Source organism: Homo sapiens, chromosome 18, assembly GCF_000001405.40.
Source record: "Homo sapiens chromosome 18, GRCh38.p14 Primary Assembly".
Classification (NCBI taxonomy): Eukaryota; Metazoa; Chordata; class Mammalia; order Primates; family Hominidae; genus Homo; species Homo sapiens.
Window position 1 is genome coordinate 2,587,783 of NC_000018.10, and position 20,389 is coordinate 2,608,171.

At 35.5% G+C, this 20,389-nt stretch overlaps 1 protein-coding gene and 1 pseudogene across 1 annotated transcript in view, besides 1 other annotated feature; one reads left to right on the forward strand and one right to left on the reverse strand.

Moving 5' to 3' along the window:
* Positions 1–20,389, forward strand: part of NDC80 (NDC80 kinetochore complex component) — a 45,079-nt gene that overhangs the window by 16,226 nt on the left and 8,464 nt on the right. Inside the window, exons 8-14 of the mRNA NM_006101.3 lie at positions 48–141; positions 1,422–1,528; positions 2,236–2,380; positions 7,634–7,839; positions 11,237–11,389; positions 13,614–13,703; positions 18,633–18,725. Coding sequence (NP_006092.1) covers positions 48–141; positions 1,422–1,528; positions 2,236–2,380; positions 7,634–7,839; positions 11,237–11,389; positions 13,614–13,703; positions 18,633–18,725 — 888 coding nt within the window. The remainder of the gene's footprint in view (positions 1–47; positions 142–1,421; positions 1,529–2,235; positions 2,381–7,633; positions 7,840–11,236; positions 11,390–13,613; positions 13,704–18,632; positions 18,726–20,389) is intronic.
* Positions 1,352–2,551: an enhancer, noted in NCBI's record as "MED14-independent group 3 enhancer chr18:2589133-2590332 (GRCh37/hg19 assembly coordinates)". NCBI's record gives its function as "activates an origin of replication core promoter dependent on BRD2, BRD4, P300/CBP and CDK7 cofactors, and independent of MED14, by STARR-seq in HCT116 cells {active_cell/tissue: HCT116}" and the evidence as "EXISTENCE:reporter gene assay evidence [ECO:0000049][PMID:35650434]".
* On the reverse strand, positions 5,698–7,171 carry KATNBL1P3 (katanin regulatory subunit B1 like 1 pseudogene 3; annotated as a pseudogene).

The following is a 20,389-nucleotide window of genomic DNA, read 5'->3' on the forward strand; positions in this document are numbered from 1 at the left end:
AAATAGAGAATCATAACTTTGTTTCTAAAATCTGCTTAACCCCATAGTTGTTTTTGGACTACACCATAAAATGCTATGAGAGTTTTATGAGTGGTGCCGACAGCTTTGATGAGATGAATGCAGAGCTGCAGTCAAAACTGAGTAAGTGTTCTCGTTCTTAGGGTGCTTGCTTTTGGTCATTTCACTCTGCTCATGGAGTGGTAATTTATTTACCATATCCAGTGTTCATATGAGCTACTTACTTTAAATGTATCTGGATGCCTACTGATTTTTATCTTTGTGGTTTCTTTGGTGGAGAGAAGTTAAACAAAAAGAATACTAGTGTTGGAGCCAGACCTGAGCCATAACATCTTACTGTCTGTGGCGCCTTAATAAAATACTTGACCTCCTGACAAAGTGTAGCAGCAGTAGATGACAGTATAATAAAGTCATAATATACCAAACATGCTACCAGAAGCATAGACAATAATTAGCAAATGCTATTCCTCTTGGGGGATAATATCCCTACGTTGTCCTTGCTTACTATTTGAGAAATTAAAGCACCAATTAGTCAAAAGACCTAAGGTCTCTTTCAAAATTTGTGGCAAAAAGTTAACAAGACATTATACTTCCAAATATGTAAGGAAAATCTTTTTTTTTTTTTACTCATTTACAACCTAGTGACATACAGTATTTACTAGATAACTCTAAAACATTCCAGAGGTATTATTTTACATTTTCATTCTTTCTATTGAAATAGTCTTGTATATAAAATGCCAAAATGGAAGGTAAAATAGATAAATGGAGGTGAAGCTATTCCTCCAACAATGGAATCAATCACTTTGCCAGTATTATCACAAAAGCTGAAAGCATTCCCTTATAGTCCCCTGGGATTGTATCTTCCTGAAGAGTAACCAGGACAATTTCAGCTTGTTCACATGGGAAAGGGAGCAAAATAAATGGCTTTGTTTTAAGAGAGGAAAATTTAGAGTGATCTAAGCATCTAATGAGTAATTTGATATTTCTGTATATAATTAACCAAGCATAAAAACTGCATTCATTTATTCAAATAAATATTTTTTGTATACCTACTATGTGCCAGCCACCATTTAGGCACTGAGGATACAGTAATGAATAGGATAAAAACCTCTGCCCTTATGAGCTTACATTTTAGTAGACAGAAAGAGGAAAATAATGAAATGAGCAACTTTAAGTCAAATGGTGATAAGCGCTTTGGAGAAAAATCAAGCAGGACAAGGAGAGTCGAAGTACGGTGGAGTAATGGAAAGGGTTTGCTGTTTTACAAGGATGGGATGTACTTCACTAATAGTGTTTTGGGCAGAGACCAGAAGGAAGTGAGGGAGGGAGTAATGGTGAAAACTTGGGAAAGAATGTTCTAGGCGGATTTGAGGTCTTAAAAAGCTTTTGGATTTTGTCTCCAGAGGATTTATTTAATGTGGATGCTTTTAAGCTGGAATCATTAGAAGCAAAAAACAGAGCATTGAATGAACAGATTGCAAGATTGGAACAAGAAAGAGAAAAAGAACCGGTTAGTAAACATGTTTACACACTTACTTGAGAGCTCTTTTAGACTTTTGGGTGTCCTTGGATATTAGCTGTCTTTATCAAAATTTTAAAAAATAGATTAACAAATTAAGCTTCTTAAAAGTTAAATTTTCACCTAGAAACTCCCAATGAAAACATGTTTGGTATCTGTGGAGCCTTGTTTTCCCTTGCGGTCTATCAGTCTTAGACTAATGGTGCTCTGGATATGATGAAAGATTCTTACCTACTTACATAAGATCAAAAGTACTTTTGAACAAAGGCCCTGTGTTATATACCTCTAGGGAGCATTAGTCACAAGAAGCCCTGAGTTTTGGAGGTAGTGCAAAAGGAATGGTTAATAAATGGGTTTATATAGTATATTGTATCCTGAGTTTTCTAAAAGCTAAATATTAATATCCAGTTATCTAACTTTATTTTCTGCATTATTAGTGAAGCACTCAAACTGTTGTTGTAAAATACCAGATTTTAAATATTTGTGCTTTTTCAACCCTAGCAATTGTGGTTTTTTTTTTTTTCTATTTCAAACTGACAGTGTAGTCCCCTTTTAGTTCTTTTGACTTCCTCTAAAAATGAAAGGAAAACTCAAATCTACCTTTCTCTAAAATAAATTTAAATAATATTGCTTTACTTTAAAATAAAATATGGAATGGTTATTAAGAATAACTAAAGTTATATTCTTTTCTCTTAAAGAATCGTCTAGAGTCGTTGAGAAAACTGAAGGCTTCCTTACAAGGAGATGTTCAAAAGTATCAGGCATACATGAGCAATTTGGAGTCTCATTCAGCCATTCTTGACCAGAAATTAAATGGTCTCAATGAGGAAATTGCTAGAGTAGGTAAGCAGAGCTAATGCTAAAAGACTGGGATGCGAACCTGTGTGGGATTTGTCACATGTAAAAACAGCTTTGTTATCCATATCTTTTGTTGTTCTGTGGTACATGCTTAGAGCAGGCTACCAAGTTTTCAGTGTGTTTCGTATTTGTTTCCTAAGGCTGCTGTCACAAATGATCACAAGTTTGGATGGCTTAAAACAACAGAAATGTATTATCGCACAGTTCTAGAGGCTGTTCCAGCAGATCTGCATCCCTCCAAGGACTCAGGGAGGATCTATTCCTTGCCTCTTGCAGCTTTTAGTGGCTGGCAGCATTACTGGGCTATGTTCACATCACTCCGATCTCTGCCTCCATCTTCACATTGCCTTCTCCTCTGTGTTTGTACTCTACTACCTGTGTGAAATATCTCCCTCTGCCTCTATCTTATAAGGACATTTGAGATGAGATTTAGGGCCCACCTGGATAATAATACAGGGCTCTCTCTTCATCTCAAGATACTTAATCACATCTGCAAAGACCCTTTTCCCAAATAAGGTAATTTCACAGTTTCCAGAGATAGAACTTTATATATTTAGGTGGCCATTGTTCAACCTACTACTCCTTACATGTTTTCAAGCATTTGGCTTTTTGAAGCCAAGAAGGACCCAACCTAAGAAAACATGCTGCCTGAATATAGAAATATATAAAAATTCTATACAAATATATACTGTATTCCACTTTGTGGTTAATAAGCCAGATAAACCAGATTCTTTTGTTTTTTTTGAGATGAAGTCTTGCTATTTTGCCCAGGCCAGTCTCGAACTCCTGGGTTCAAATAATCCTCCCACTTCAGTCTCCCACGTAGCTGGGACTATAATAGGTGGGCTCCACCATGCTTGGCTCTAATAAGCCAGATTCTTGATGTCTGCCTGCCTCAGTCTGCTATAACTGGCTATCCTCCATCACTACCGCCTAAGCACCTCAGCAGCTGAAACTGATTGAAAATCAAAATTAAAGCTGCAAGTACTACAGTTCTCGGGGAAAAGAGCAACCAAAGAAAGCTCTTTTATGTCTTATGTCTTGTAAGCTTACTTTCATAAACACAGCAATCTTAATCATAAAATTCTGTAAAACACTATGGCACATGCAATTGCTTGATTCTTCTGCAGTGCCTGAAGGAGAGTAAAGAAAGGTATCTGCAAGTCACAGAGCCACTGGGCTGTACTTTTAAAAATAAATTTATTGACAACTATACTGTTTTCCCAGGACTTTGCCTACTTCTGTTTGTTTCTTTTGGGATTTTGCTGGCTGTGTCTGTCCCACATGGGAGTTGTATACATGGCCCTTAGGATATTTGATTTAACTCTTAGTCTATGGAGTATTGATTGTCAACTCAAGACTAGTAATTACCAGGGTTATTTGCTGAATCTGTTTTTTTTTTCCAAATAACTCTGATTTATATATATATATTGGATTTGCTCTAAACCAACTCTTTAAATATATTAACTACTTTACACTTGGCCCCTAATCAATGTCCTTTGTTTATTCTTCATGATGACAAAGAAGCTTGGACTAAATTATTATTATAATAATTTTTATAATGCAATTAATCAATACTTTTTTTTTTTTTTTTTGAGATGTAGTCTTGCTGTGTCACCCAGGCTGAAGTGCAGTGGCACCATCTCCGCTCACTGCAACCTCCGCCTCCCGGGTTCAAATAATTCTTCTGCCTCAGCCTCCTGAGTAGCTGGGATTACAGGTGCACGCCACCATGCCCGGCTACTTTTTTGTATTTTTAGTAGAGACGGGGTTTCACCATGCTGGCCAGGCTGGTCTCAAACTCCTGACCTCGTGATCCACCTACCTCGGCCTCCCAAAGTGCTGGGATTGCAGGCGTGAGCCACAGCACCCGGCCTTTAATCAATACTTTCTAATACTAATACTTTATCTTTCTTGTCAGCATATGATCAAGAGAATTGTCATACATCCTTCTTGTTCTTGTGAGAACTTTTTCTGATAGCTGCAAACTCAGTAGGTGAGAGAGAAATACTTAATCATTTGCCATTCCAGAGTGATTTAGTTTGAGACATTAATTTTATAACTGTTAATCTAAGATGTTTTTATTCTATGAGTGTTTGAACTTTCTTGATTATGTAAAGCCATTCATGGCATGAGTGGATGAGACATATTTAAATTTTATTTTGTTTTTGTTTTATTTTGTTTTTTTTTTTTTGAGAGACAGAGTGTCACTCTGTCGCCCAGGCTGGAGTAGAGTGGCTCAATCTTGGCTCACTGCAACCCTCGCCTCCGGGGTTCAAGCAAGTCTCCTCCCTCAGTTTCCCAAGTAGCTGGGACTACAGGAGTGCACCATCATGCCCAGCTAATTTTCATTTTTTTTAGTAGAGACAGGGTTTCACTATATGTTGGCCAAGCTGGTCTCAAACTCCTGACCTCAGGTGATCCACCCGCCTCAGCCTCCCAAAGTGCTGGGGTTACAGGCATGAGCCACCACACCCAGCCATAAATTTTATAGATATTATATGTTGTGGATTTTTTGTGCAGATGCCTGTGATAAATGCATAAAGTTTTACTTTATCTAACCATGAATTTGCTTTAAGTTCACTGTGTTGCAAATAGGTTGTAACAAACCAAGATACCAAAATACCAATCCTCTCCACCCTTAGGATGACTCTCTTGACCCCTTAGTCATCCTCATCCTTTTGTCCCAGCCTGCTATAAAAATGCTAATCATGTTCAATATAGGCCATGAGTCACAGAAGGTTGGAAAACACTATTGGTAAACAGAGAAAGCAAAAACCTGACCAGTTTGGTATGGTTATCACTGAAAATGTCAGTAAAATATGAATAAACTCTGGTGTGTGTGTGTGTGTGTGTGTGTGTGTGTGTGTGTGTGTGTCTTTTTTTTTTTTTTTTGAGTCAGACTCTTACTCTGTCACCCAGCCTGGAGTGCAATGGCACGATCTCAGTTCACTGCAACTTCTGTCTCCTGGGTTCAAGCGATTTTCCTGCCTCAGCCTCCCAAGTAGCTGGGACCACAGATGTGTGCCACCACGCCTGGCTAATTTTGTATTTTTAGTAGAGACAGGGTTTCACCATGTTGGCCAGACTGGTTTCGAACTCCTGACCTCAGGTGATCCACCCGCCTCTGCCATAATAAGTCTTATCTCATTTTTTCACATAGTATAAATTATATTCTTATGCAGGACTGCGTTAAGATCCAGTAGTTCTTAAACAATGTTACCAAATAACCACATATCCCAAAGGCAGACAGTCTTCACAGTGTACTTTTACCTCATTGAAGTTGAAGCTGTTCCTTTACAATATTTTTCCACTTCAATGTGAAGTAGACTGTTAAGGTTTCATTAGGGGTTTAATTATGTGTCCTTTTAAAGAAAAAATGGTTTTGACAATTCTTCCACAATTCACAGTTCTCAGACAATAACTTTTTTTGTAAATCATATAGTCCAACTATGTTTTGAATAACCAGATGCTCTTTAGTAGACGAAATCTCTCAATGCAACTGTAATAAATAAGCATCTGTATCCTGATTCTTATTTATGGCATCTCATCATATACCAGTATATCCTGGAACCAAAGTAAGATGATTTTCCTGTGGATTTCCTACAATCCACTTATTTGTTTTAAAACAGAATATTTCCGTCATTTATAATTTCTGTTTGGATGATAATTCTGACCACCACCTTTTTATGACTGCTTGAAGCTAGCTTATTTTATTTTATTTTACTTTATTTTATTTTATTTTCCGGGAGTCTCACTCTGTCTCCCAGGCTGGCGTGCAGTGGTGCGATCTCGGCTCACAGCAGCCTCCGCCTCCCAGATTCAAGTGATTCACGTGCCTCAGCCACCCGAGTAGCTGGGATTACAGGCATGCGCCACCATGCCCAGCTAATTTAGTAGAGACAGGGTTTCGCCATGTTGGCCAGGCTGGTCTCGAACTCCTGACCTCAGGTGATCCGCCTGCCTCAGGGCTTCCCAAAGCGCTGGGATTACAGGCGTGAGCCACCGCACCTGGCCATTGAAGCCAATTTAATCAACTATTACATACTCTTCAAATTTGCTTTAAAGCAGTCACTTTACTAGAAGTAACAAGTGTACTGGCTTTCTTCTGTAAACTGTTGGTAACCACAAGAAGGCAATCTACCACAGCTCCAAGCTCTTCTATCCTCACCAAATAAGCTACAAGTTCACTTGTACTTCTCTTAAAAGTTAAAGCTACATTCAATGAGCTTTTTCAGAAAAAAATCAACAGTTTTCCTGCTGAACAAAATTTTGGCCATTGTTTCATGGTCCTGAGAAACCTTAGAAAAAAACCCACTATACTGTGATGATGGGTTTTCTGTTTGGGAAGAACCAGAATCACTGGAATTAATCAAATATGTGTGACTCAACTGTCATGGCTTAATTTTTCAGGCAGGTAGCCTGCACAAGTCAGTTCATTTTCTCATTTGCCGTGGCACAATCCCCACTTCTAGGCAACTGTTTTTTCTGTAACAAGAATTTAGAAAGGGATGATTAACTTTCTGAAATAGACTGCCTTATGTGCTTTAATCTGGGCTTTTCACACCTTGTCCAACTGTTCTGTTTATGTAAGCAGCCACCTGTCTTGGAGACTTCTTAACCTTCTTCATGTTGTATTAGTGAAATTAGAGATCCTTTTTCTAGGAAGGTCAATGGAGGGATCCTCGATATTACAAAAGTTCCATTTTTTTCACATTGTGAGTTTCAAATGTCATATTCTCTTAAATATTGGCACCTTGGGGTATCATGGAGCCTCAGCCTAGAATGTCCCTTTGTCCCCATGCAGGGCCATTCAAATGTGGATGCATGCATGAACCCAGGATTCTTAATGGCAGTCATTATTTATGAAGCCACATTTTTTTTTCATGTAGTACTTTTTGAAAACCATTGCAAGCTAATAGGGAAATAAGTTTCTTAACATAAAACTTTAATTGTCCTATCTTCCAGAATGTTATAAACAAAGTAAGATCAAAAGAATTATCTCAAAAAATGAGAATATACATACATATGTATATATATGACTTTGAAATTTATATATATATATGAGACTTGGAAATTTTTATATATACTATAAAAACATATATATAATATATATAATATATATACACACATATATATGACTTGGAAATTTAGATATCTTAGCTCTATTACATGATGGCATCTGTTTCTTTGTAGGAATTGAAGATACATTAAAAATTTGGTTTTTTTCCAACACAGAACTAGAATGTGAAACAATAAAACAGGAGAACACTCGACTACAGAATATCATTGACAACCAGAAGTACTCAGTTGCAGACATTGAGCGAATAAATCATGAAAGAAATGAATTGCAGCAGACTATTAATAAATTAACCAAGGACCTGGAAGCTGAACAACAGAAGTTGTGGAATGAGGAGTTAAAATATGCCAGAGGCAAAGAAGCGGTATGTCATACCATTTCCAGAGTGGCAACTCATCATAGCTGACCTTTCTGAAGGTCTGTCCCAATTAAGAAGAAGTCAGTGGGTAGAGTAAATTGGCTTAAGAGGTAAAACATTAGCATTGACATTTTAATGAAACACTCATCCCTTTATGTCAATTCAGTAACATCCCAATTTCTCTCAAATTTAAGATAAGTTATATTTCATAACCCAATGAAAAAGTAAACAAAAAAGTCTCTAAAACTATGAAAATAATGTTCATAGGTCCCACTCCTTTTACTCTGTAGAAGAGGAAATGAGTCCTTCATTCACCTATTCACTACTTAAGCATTAAGATTGAACATCCGCTGTGTGTCACTTATGCTAGGCATAGAGGAAATAAAGATAAAACATTGGCTTTCCCCTCAAAAACTTCCAACTGAGTTTGCATTTACTCCCATGAAATGAGACCTCTAATAAATGTTTGGTGTACAGGGTACTGAGGAAACATATAGTACACCTAGCCCAAATTTAGTGTACATGGTGTGGGGAGATGGCTGAGAGGTTTTTAGAAGAGAATTTCTTAAAGAGGGAACAACTGAACTGAATTGGGAAGTATAGGGAAGGGTTAGCATGGCACAGCCTACAAAATGGGAGAAAATTTTCGCAACCTACTCATCTGACAAAGGGCTAATATCCAGAATCTACAATGAACTCAAACAAATTTACAAGAAAAAAACAAACAAACCCATCAAAAAGTGGGCGAAGGACATGAACAGACACTTCTCAAAAGAAGACATTTATGCAGCCAAAAAACACATGAAAAAATGCTCACCATCACTGGCCATCAGAGAAATGCAAATCAAAACCACAATGAGATACCATCTCACACCAGTTAGAATGACAGTCATTAAAAAGTCAGGAAACAACAGGTGCTGGAGAGGATGTGGAGAAATAGGAACACTTTGACACTGTTGGTGGGACTGTAAACTAGTTCAACCATTGTGGAAGTCAGTGTGGCGATTCCTCAGGGATCTAGAACTAGAAATACCATTTGACCCAGCCATCCCATTACTGGGTATATACCCAAAGGATTATAAATCATGCTGCTATAAAGACCCATGCACACATATGTTTATTGCGGCACTATTCACAATAGCAAAGACTTGGAACCAACCCAAATGTCCAACAATGATAGACTGGATTAAGAAAATGTGGCACATATACACCATGGAATACTATGCAGCCGTAAAAAATGATGAGTTCATGTCCTTTGTAGGGACATGGATGAAATTGGAAATCATCATTCTCAGTAAACTATTGCAAGGACAAAAAACCAAACACCGCATATTCTCACTCATAGGTGGGAATTGAACAATGAGAACACATGGACACAGGAAGGGGAGCATCACACTCTGGGGACTGTTGTGGGGTGGGGGAGAGGGGAGGGATAGCATTAGGAGATATACCTAATGCTAAATGATGAGTTAATGGGTGCAGCACACCAGCATGGCACATGTATACATATGTAACTAATGTGCACATTGTGCACATGTACCCTAAAACTTAAAGTATAATAATAATAAAAAATAAGTAAATAAAATAAAATAAAATAAAATAGCAAGTGGGACAGAGCAAGAGATGAGACTCAAGAGATAAGCATAGACCAGAGGATGAAGACTCTTCTTGTTTAGAAGTTTGGACTTTATCCAGAAAGCCCTAAGAAGGTCCTAAAATTTTTAAACAGGTGTGGTTACATCTCAGAAAGATCTTATTTCTGATAAGGTGAAAATCTGTGGCAGCAATCTAATAAGAAATTACTATCATTCTCTAAAAGATAGTAAGGATTCGGTCCGGATGCAGTGGCACACGCCTGTAATCCCAGCACTTTGGGAGGCCAAGGCAGGTGGATCATCAGAAGTTATGACTTCGAGACCAGCCTGGCCAACATGGTGAAACCCCGTCTTTACTAAAAATACAAAAAGAAGCCAGGTGTGGTGGCACCTGCCTGTAATCGCAGCTACTTGGGAGGCTGAGGCAGGAGAATCGCTTGAACCCGGAGGCGGAAGTTGCAGTGAGCCAAGATCCCACTATTGCACTCCAGCCTGGGCAAAAATAGCAAAACTCTGTCTAAAAAAAAAAAAATAAAGTTAAAGACAGTAAGGATTCAAAGAAGTAGGTAGATTCTGACAACTTAGAGGTAGAGCGAATGAAACTTGATGAAAGAGGGAGGAAGTGGTTGCCCTGTCTGGCTTGGGTAATTGGGCAGGTGCCACTCACTCAGGGAGAGAAGAGAAGGAAGAAGTTGTGAGACAGGAATGGGGATGGATGTGTTATATCCACGTCCAAGTGAAAATAGGTAATAGGCTGTTATATATATGGGTCTGGACCTTGGCATGAGAGAAGCCAATTATTCAACTTAATTTCAATGTTATGGGTAATACATTACCAATTTAGCCAACATTTAATGTATAAGTAATAAGCCCAAAATTTAATGTATAAGTAATATTGCTTTTGAGATCTAATGCATTTTTGGAAATTGCAAATTGGTTAAGCAAGTTCCAACGTGTGCTCTTACCATTGCATTCCTTCACTCAAATTGATTTTTATGGATGGGTAATAACAATGAGAAACGAAGTATGTGTTTAATGGAGGAAGCAGATTAAAAACAAGTTGCCTAGACTCTGCAAATTCATTTATTCAATCTAATATTAAGTATCTACTATATGCCAAGCACTGTTCTAGGTGCTGAGGATAGAGCTGTTTTCATGGAACTTATATTCAGAAAGTGGAGATGAACAAATATATGTCAGGTAGTGATGATGGCTATGAAGAAAAATAAAACAAAATAAGCATTTAGAAGAATTAGGGTGCTATATTAGGGGAAAGCCTTTCTGATGACCTTATTTGAACAGAGCCCTGAAGGAAGAAGGAAGGAGAGCAGGAAATGTGAAATATATTACTAAAATATTTTTATCAATACAGTTAAAATAACATTTTCAGACATAAATGATTATATTCTACTTATTTTGGATACATGAAATGTTTTAATTTGTACATTGACAAAACTAAGATTGGTTTGTTTTACATGTTTCGTAATTTCTTTATCTGGCACTTCAAAAAGTAAATTTTAGTTAATATCTAAATATGGACTCTTATTCCAAGCTGTCAGATAAATGGAAGATAGTAGTACATTACACACCAATTGATAGTCTTAATTATTCTGTAAATTTAAGTGTTACTAAAACCTTATCTTCTTTGTATATTTTAAAACTGCTACTCTTACTGCTAAAGATTACTGAATTAGTAAACTACTAAAAATAGGTGTGATATGTTTTGTATAAAATTTTAGAAATGTCAATTGAAAAAAACATATGGAATGGGGCTGCTTTAACATGTCTTATGTGTTCTGTTCTTACAGATTGAAACACAATTAGCAGAGTATCACAAATTGGCTAGAAAATTAAAACTTATTCCTAAAGGTGCTGAGAATTCCAAAGGTTATGACTTTGAAATTAAGTTTAATCCCGAGGCTGGTGCCAACTGCCTTGTCAAATACAGGGCTCAAGTTTATGTAAGTAATCATGACTACTTTTAAGATTTTTTTAATTCTGTGATTGGTATCTCTAAGAGTTTGAACTTTGGCTTGTTCATAACCCAGTACTAAACAAAGGAATAAAACACTGAAACTGTATCTTCTTTCTTCTCGGTCATAGAAATCTTCTACTATCCAGTAAAAAAAATTGATTACATATAAAATAGATGCCAGTACTATAAAGACAAAGAGGGCCTAACCCTTACTGTCAAGTTGCTAATGATCCCCCCAGAGGAGAAAGACATAAATAAATGCTATATATGTGCTTAATTAGAAGTCTTTACAAGTTATAGTGAAAAGATCAGTTCTTCCCATGTAGCAAAAAAGACTCTGGAGATGGTAACCGTGGAATGAAATCTTGAAAGATGAGACATATATGGGAAGGGTCTGTAGAAAGAATTCCAGGCACAAGGGCACACATGAAGGCATAAAATGTATTAGAGTACTAAGAATACTGGTAATCAACAAGGAGAAATTGGTGCCTAATTTTAAAATATGGCCAAGGAAGTAATTTTGGGAAGAAAATTTTTAAATAGCTCTATTGTAACTTGTCAGTTATTTATAGATTTTAGTATTTGAGTTGCCCCTAAAAATGCCAATTTTCAAAATACTTCAGTTTTGAATAGGAGAATGTTTATTAAAGTCAAAAGCTATACATTTTTCCCTTGAGAATTATTCATTTAACAAGTATTTATTGAGTGCATAGTGTGTTCCAGACCAGCTACATATTAGAGATAAAATATCAAGAAACATACATCCCTACTTTACCAGAGAGAACAGTTTGTGAGTGGACAGACATTGATTAAATCAAGCTATAGTCATTTTCAATAGAAAAAATACATCCAGTAAACATTTAGTCTATTACTAATCTATCTATAGATAGGCAGGCAGAGTTTGCTCACCACTGTTTTGAGTAGTTTGACATGGCTGGTGCAAGAAAATAATTACATGAATCACATTCTTGTAGAAAAGATTACACAATGCAAAAAGAAGAATGAATATGCTCGAGGAGAAATTTTGATTTCATCTCTAGAAATAGTTTTACATAATAATAGAACAATAAAATAGAATCAATAAGGTACAAAGCCAAGTGTTATAAGTAGTACTTGGTGAAAAGTTCTTTAAGAGATTTGAGAGGCCGGGCAAGGTGGCTCAGGCCTGTAATCCCAGCACTTTGGGAGGCCTAAGTGGGCAGATCACGAGGTCAGGAGTTCGAGAGCAGCCTGGCCAATATGGTGAAACCCCATCTCTACTAAAAATACAAAAACTAGCCGGGTGTGGTGGTGCACACCTGTAGTCCCAGCTACTCGGGAGGCTGAGGCAGAGGAATCGCTTGAACCCGGAGGCAGAGGTTGCAGTGAGCCAGGATCACGCCACTGCACTCCAGCCTGGGCAACAGAGTGAGATTCCATCTCAAAAAAAAAAAACAGAGAGAGAGATTGAAGAGGCCATTGCATCTTTTGCAAGGAGCAGGCCAAAATTAAAACTCAGCAATAACTTCAAAAGACCTACTTAAAACATAATGGCATATGGGATTTTATTTCAGCATAATGAAATGTTTTGGAACTGGAGGTGATGGTTACTGTGTTAAATGCCACTGAATTACACGCTATAATTTTATGTTAAACTTTATGTTTATTTTATGTTGTATGTTTAATTGTATGTTAACGTCATTTTAACCTAAGTATTTCAGTTTAACCATTTTAAAGTGTGAATTTCACCTCAATTTAGAAAAATGACAAGCAATGAAGTGCTGTGTTAAAGTCAGTAGAACAGAATAAACATAAGAAATACAGGCAGAGAATCCTAAGACTAAACAGTTGAAAAGGATTAAGAGAAATTGATACTTCTGGATAACATAGCATAAAAATACAACCTACATATGAATTGTTTTCAAAAAAAATACTGCAGTAAACTAAGTGTACTTGTAAAATGTTTAAATAATAGCAATGAATTTCCAGGATAGATGAGCAAATCTTGAATTTTGCAAGTATTCAAAACCAAAAGCAGGTTATAGTCTACACTTACAGAAATTTGATTAAAAACTAGTTTTGTTTCTGTTTGACAGTATATTAGATTTAAAATGTTATAACTTCAGTTTTTCTCCAAAAGTGACTCCTCCTATCACAGTGTGTAGATGCTTCAGGAGGGATATTTTGTAATTAAATGTTATATGTCACCCACATTCCTATGTATTTTATAGGTACCTCTTAAGGAACTCCTGAATGAAACTGAAGAAGAAATTAATAAAGCCCTAAATAAAAAAATGGGTTTGGAGGATACTTTAGAACAAGTAAGTAATAAAACATAAAAAGTCATAAAAAGTGAAAATTAGATTTTAAAACCTAAAATTAAAAGTTATTTATGGTTTCTGATTGCTAAGGAATTAATTTTTTAACAAAACTATGAAAAAATGAGAATTGGGTATGCTCTCGACAGAAATATTTGAAGTAACTTATTAAGACATTTAAACATCCTAGCCTTCACACATCACATATGATGAAGCGAGATGAAACTAAGTAAATTTTCCTTTTTTTAATAGAGAAGTGTCTCTAACTTGAGATAATTTAATATTTTTATACTAAAAGAGGCTTCAAGTGGCTACCTTGAAAGTAGGCAAGTATAATTACGGCGTTAGAAGCTAATTAGCTGTGATAGATTAAGAGGTTTCTTTTTACCAAGTTTTTGGATTCTGGATCATGGAATTTCAGGAGAACTCAAATTCCTTTCAAAGTCTATTTCCAAAAGTGAATTTCAGGTAGTCTCTGCTTCTGAGATCCTTAATATCACCTATATCCCTGAAAAGGAAAATTCTATTATTGTATTTAGTAACCTTTAAAGTAAACATTGTTAGTTAAGAAAAGTTAAGCTACTTCTCAAATGCACACACAAAGGATTTCATTTATAGGACACCAAGCAGTTAAAGGAAACCCCTTGTTAATTCAGCTCTTCAGGAACTACTGTGATCTGGCTAATAGATTTCAAGATATAAAATGAAATTTTATGTTTTCTCAGAAGAGAAGCTTGTTTATTTTTTCTCAATCTGGAAACAAAACCTATGGCATTTCACAAATAATTATGCTAGTAACCCACAGAAAGACATTTTTCCAATATTAATAAATTCTATCAAGACTTACTTTGTATTAGAATTTTTACATTCTCAGAAAAATAGAAAAATTTGTAACATTAGATAAGTGAAGAGTTTGATCACATCATACTATTATTGCTGTAATTCGCAGTTTCTAAAATATCTATGGAGAAAAGATGAGGAATTTGCTCCCTGGGACTGCTCCCTGGGAATGATGATTATTTGCAGTGAAGTCTTCCTTTAGCCTGCTTCATTTTGATTTCTGTTTTTTGCTGTAATGGGTACTAAAACCTGGAGATTCTCAAAAGGTATGAATTCCAAACAACAGGAACTTCATATCTAAAACATCTTTTAGACTGTCTTGAACTTTTTAAAGGCTATAGATGGGGGAAAGTTATAAAATGGCTACTATAGACTAGGACCCATGTTAGTGTCCTAGAGATAAATACATCCTTCAGGCACTCCCATATAGAGAAAAAGGCTGACATAGGTACAGTTATGCTCATCAGATTTTTAGGTTTACAAAACCCTTTGGGCTACAGGAAAACATGGCTTAGAGGGGATGCAACTGAAAATGTTAGGAGACTTAAACCAATGTATACTAGAACTAGAGGGAAGGAAACAGGTTTAGGAAATGTTAAGGAGGTAGAACCCAAGGATTTCATGGCTGCATGTGCAAGCTTGAGGAGAAAGAAGTATCAACATGACTTCCATATTTTTGATGTGGGCAACTGAGTGAATCATAGTGCTATTAACCTAAAGGAGGAAAACTTAAAGTAGGGTGTGGTGAGATGTTGAGCTTGCTGTCTGTAGGATATCCAGGAGGAAGCAGAAGCTATAGATTCAGAGTGTAAGAAGGAGATCAGGGCTGAAAATACAGATTTGATGGTCATTAGAGCATATGTAATAGTTGAAGCCATATATGTGGATGAATGTGGAGGGGAAAGTGGCAGAGGATTGAATCCTAAAGAGTAACAACATTTAAGGGACCGGCAAAGGAAGGAGATTCTGGGAAAAACTCTTAGAAAAAGTGGACAAAATTAGTTGGAGAACAACAGAAGAGAATATGTTTATACATATATATATATATATATATATACACCTATGTAATATATATAAGCCAAAGTAGGGAAAACTTTTCAAGAAGGGAGAGATCAGTAATGTCATACAGAGACTAACAACTAAAATTGTTTTTCCTATTGGACAAGTAGTTTAAGTTAAGATGGGATGGGGTAAAATGCAACTGGAAATAATAAAGTTTATAAAGAAATTAATAAATTAGAGTAACAAAACATTTAACCTGAAAAGTATTTTAAAATAATTGCCAAAACCATTTAAGAAAAAGCAGGAAAATATAAAATGAGAAATAGTTTATAGAGATGGTGGAAATTTATTTGAATTATGAAGTAATATAGTATAAACAGAAATTTATGTTTAAAATTTTTTGATGAAATGGATTGTAACCTGAACAATAGAAATCCCAAAAAAGTCAAAATATGTAAGTAACCAGAAACCAAAGTGAAAAAGAGAATTTGCTCTTCAAAAGACTCCAATAACGGATAATTTCATAGGTCACTGTTTTCAAATACTGAAGACTGGATGATTTCTGTGACATGTAAATTATCATAGAGCATAAAGAGACCTAATTCATTTATAAGGCTAATGTAGGCCTCATACCACAACATGACAAAGATATTACAAAAAGAAGAAATTAAGCTAATCACACTTATGAATATGAATGTAAATAAAGGTTAAAGTTAAATATTTGAAACTGAAATTTATGCAGCAAATATTTTTTGAGTGCTTATGTGCCTAGTACTGTAATAGATGGTGATACTAGTACAGTGCAGCATCTGCCTTTGTGAACTTCATTTTAAGTGGGAAGATGGGCATGAAAACAATTTCTTCTATCATAGCTTTTTGTAATGTGAATACAGCGCACTGTGGATTCTCATAATACACTTAAGTACAGGCTCCTTCTGAGAGAAGTGATAGCTGGGCTGAGTTGTGAATAACAAGTAGGTGTTGGCCAATGGATACACAGAAGGATGCTCATGTTCATCCACATGCATGCACACACACATACACCTTGAGGACCAGAGACCAAGGAGTACAGCATGGACCGGGCATAGTGGCTCACGCCTGTAATCCTAGCACTTTGGGAGGCCAAGGCGGGTGGATGGCTTGAGCTCAGGAGTTCAGGACCAGCCAGGCAACATGGCAAAACCCAGCCACTACCAAAAATATAAAAATTAGCTGGATGTAGTGGCATGCACCTGTAGTCCCAGCTACTCTGGAGGCTGAGGTGGGAGATTGCTTGAGCCCTGGAGGTGGAGGCTGCAGTGAGCTGAGATTGTGCCACTGCACTCCAGCCTAGGTGACAAAGTGAGACCCTTTCTCCAAAAAGAAAAAACAAAGAGCACAGCATATTAGTAAATTACCATGAGTGTAAGTGAGATAAGGGAGAAGCCTGGAGAGACAAGAACCTAATTATGAAGGGGCTTGCCTTACTGGTTGAATTTTTTTGTATTCTTTAGGCAGTAGAGATCAATGAAGATTTATAAGTAAGGAAATAACAATAATTATTGTTATTTTAGTAATTTCACACTGTTGGCCTTTTGAAGAATAGATGAGAGGTGCATGAGACGAGACCATGCAATTAAGAGACCTATCAATATCCTATACAGTGAATAGTAAATGGTAGGGACCCAAAGCAAGGCTATTACAGTGAAGACGGAGAAAGGAGATTTAAAGATGGAAACAACAGTTTGGTTGTCCATTTGTATGTGAAGGTCAAGAAAGAAATCAAGAATGCCCAGGTGTCTTATCTTTGGCAGATGGGTATGTGGTGATGTTCTTTACCTTGATAAAGAATATAAAAGAGAAGTATATAGAAGAGAGAATTGTAGGTTGGGATATGCTGAGTTTCAGGTCTCTGGGGCATCAAAGTGGAGAATGTCCAGTAGGCAATTGGAGTCGGGCGGGCTATATGTATGTGTGTGTGTGTGTGTGTGTGTGTGTGTGTGTGTGTGTGTGTGTGTGTGTGTGTATGTACACAATGGAAATGTGTACTTTGGGACTCAGAAAAAAATGTTTAAGTAATTAATGCAGCTTTAGTAATGCTGACATGGAAAGTAGAAGCTGCTCAGAGATGAGTAAACATGCTTTTGACCAACCATGAGAATCAGTGGAAGTTCTGGTTACTTGAGTATCTGTTGTTGTTATTACAAGTGAATTTAAAACAACTCGTTTAACTTGTTAGTTACTGCAGATATAACATACCTTTAGAAAAAGTTCTTGGTGTTAGATCTGGTTTTGAGTTCTGGGCGTATGCTAGTTGTATATGTCACTACCCTGTGTTTTGTAGCAAATAATAATAGCTTCACTAAATTTGAACCCCTAAATTTTTTTTTAATTTCATATGTGTGTAGAATTATCCTTTAAAAAAAAGTCAGCTATTTATACATTTTACTCTTTTGTGTTTCCTGCAGGAAACAGTTTCCTCTTGGTATAGCTGAAGAACATTCTCTATTAATTGCTGACATCAACTGGTATCAGCACTTGCCAACAGGAAATGAACTTGAAAAACACTTTTTTCTTTCAGTTTTGGTTTCAACTGATCTTAAAGTTCAAGCTTTAACAAGATTAAATGTGGTTACCTTATTACTTTTTGAAGGAATGCATGACTATAATAGCAAACATCCAATAAAATTAATACAAACAATTCTTTTTTAACATTTTAGAAAATGAACATACAAATGAAAAGCTAAATAGCTGTAGTAGATATAGTCTAAATAAAGCTAGATTTCAAATCCAGAGGCAAAAATTATTTATATATGAATAAATTGATATAACAATATTAATAATATATAATATATATGAGAGCTTAAAAAGCACTCCCACAACAACTAGTGGAAAAACAGATATTAACATCGTTAACTTTGAGGTTTCTTTGAAATTAATTTCTCTTTGGAGAATAATAAAGTTTTTGGACAAATGATAAGTGAGAGTCCAAAAGGACTAGAAGAAATAACATTGTTCAGTTAGTTGATTGATAATATAAAAACTCTATAACTTGTTAAAATATCTTTGATGTATAGTTATGATTTCTCAACCAAAGTTTTATTTCCCCAGTTGAATGCAATGATAACAGAAAGCAAGAGAAGTGTGAGAACTCTGAAAGAAGAAGTTCAAAAGCTGGATGATCTTTACCAACAAAAAATTAAGGTAAGAACTTTGCCACAGTTTGCGTAGGTTATCAAAAGCTATGTCATGATTGCTTGATGAGTCACATATTCTGACATCAAAATCAAAATCTTTAAGCTATATATATCCTATAATTTGTATCTTGGGTTAGTTTTCTCTGCCAAAGTTTATCGTAAGGAGTCATTTTATTTTGTTCTTTAAAGGACATTTTTCTGGATTAGGGCTGTTTTACCATAGAAAAGGAACATTTACTTTTCCTTTATCTGGTATTTTATACTTGCATATGACTCAGTATCCTTGCAAAACTAAACAGAATCTCTCCTACCTTTTTGTAGAGATTTATTGTTATGTACTGCTAAAGCCTGAACCCCAATAAGGTCTTTTGAATATGTAGTTGCCCACCAAGAGTCATTGTAAACTGACTATCCTGGTCAAATTCCAAAGACTGTTTACGTGCAATCTAGAAGGTGGGTAAAATAAAAAGACTGATTCTTCAACATTCTACTGTCTGACCAGCATTTTACTTAAAGTATTCAGATGACTCTATTCATTACCACTTACACAATTCATGTGAAAATTTTAACTATGCCAATATTTTTTACTTATGTCAACAAAGTATTAGGAATTGAAAACTTTTCTCTTTGCCTGTGTTATATTTAGGACCTATTTGTTTTCTTAAACGGTGTGAAATGTTTAGAAAATATACCACATAATATGATCTAAATGTGAAATATAAGACATTGGTAATCATTTTTCTTTTTTCACACATCCTCCATGACAATGCTTGAGTTTACTCTCTGACGCACTTAAATGAAAGGTTTTATGATACTTAATCTTCACAAACCTTAGAAATGATTAATTTGGGCTACTTTGCCTGTGCATAGTTAATACATCTGTGAAATAAGGACCTAGATAAGGCTTCCTTGAAGCTCATGGGAAAAAATCTTAATTAAAATATTATAAAATTTCCTGTTGTTCAGACTGGAAAATACTGCTGAATGAATCCTATGCAAGCTTTTTGAAAAGGTCACATTTGGTAAATACTTCCAACTCACCAAAAAACTAAAAAACTTCACTACTGAATTCTAGTCAGTTGACCTTGGCGCCCTAAAAACTGAACCAATTTTATTTAGTTTCTGCATCTTTGAGAATAAAGTGACTTTTTAATTTTTTAAAGGAAAAAGTATTTTTTGTTCATAATATAAATACTCATTAGAAACAATAGAGACTCGAGAGAAATGTATAAAATGGGAACTGAAATGTACCTTATAATCCACCATAATCCCATCACTAGAAACAATGGTTAAAGTTTAGGGAGTGTCTTCCAGATATACAAACATATATTTTTTTAATGGTACCAAATTATACATAGTTTTTCATAATCTGTCTTTCTCAAGAAAAGATATCATGGATATCTTTTCATACAAATGTAGAGAGAGCAATCCTTCTATTGTGTTTTTATTTTACATATATACATAGTATATATATATATATATATATATATATATATATAACTTATTTAGCTAGCCCCTTATTAATTTTTTCCCTAAATTTTCAACTGACCAATAATGTTGCTGTGAATATCTTTGTATATCTTTATGTATTTTTCCATTCCTTCCCTTTGATAAATTTCTGAAGCATCGAATTAAAGTTTATATATATTTTAAAGCTTATATATATTTTAA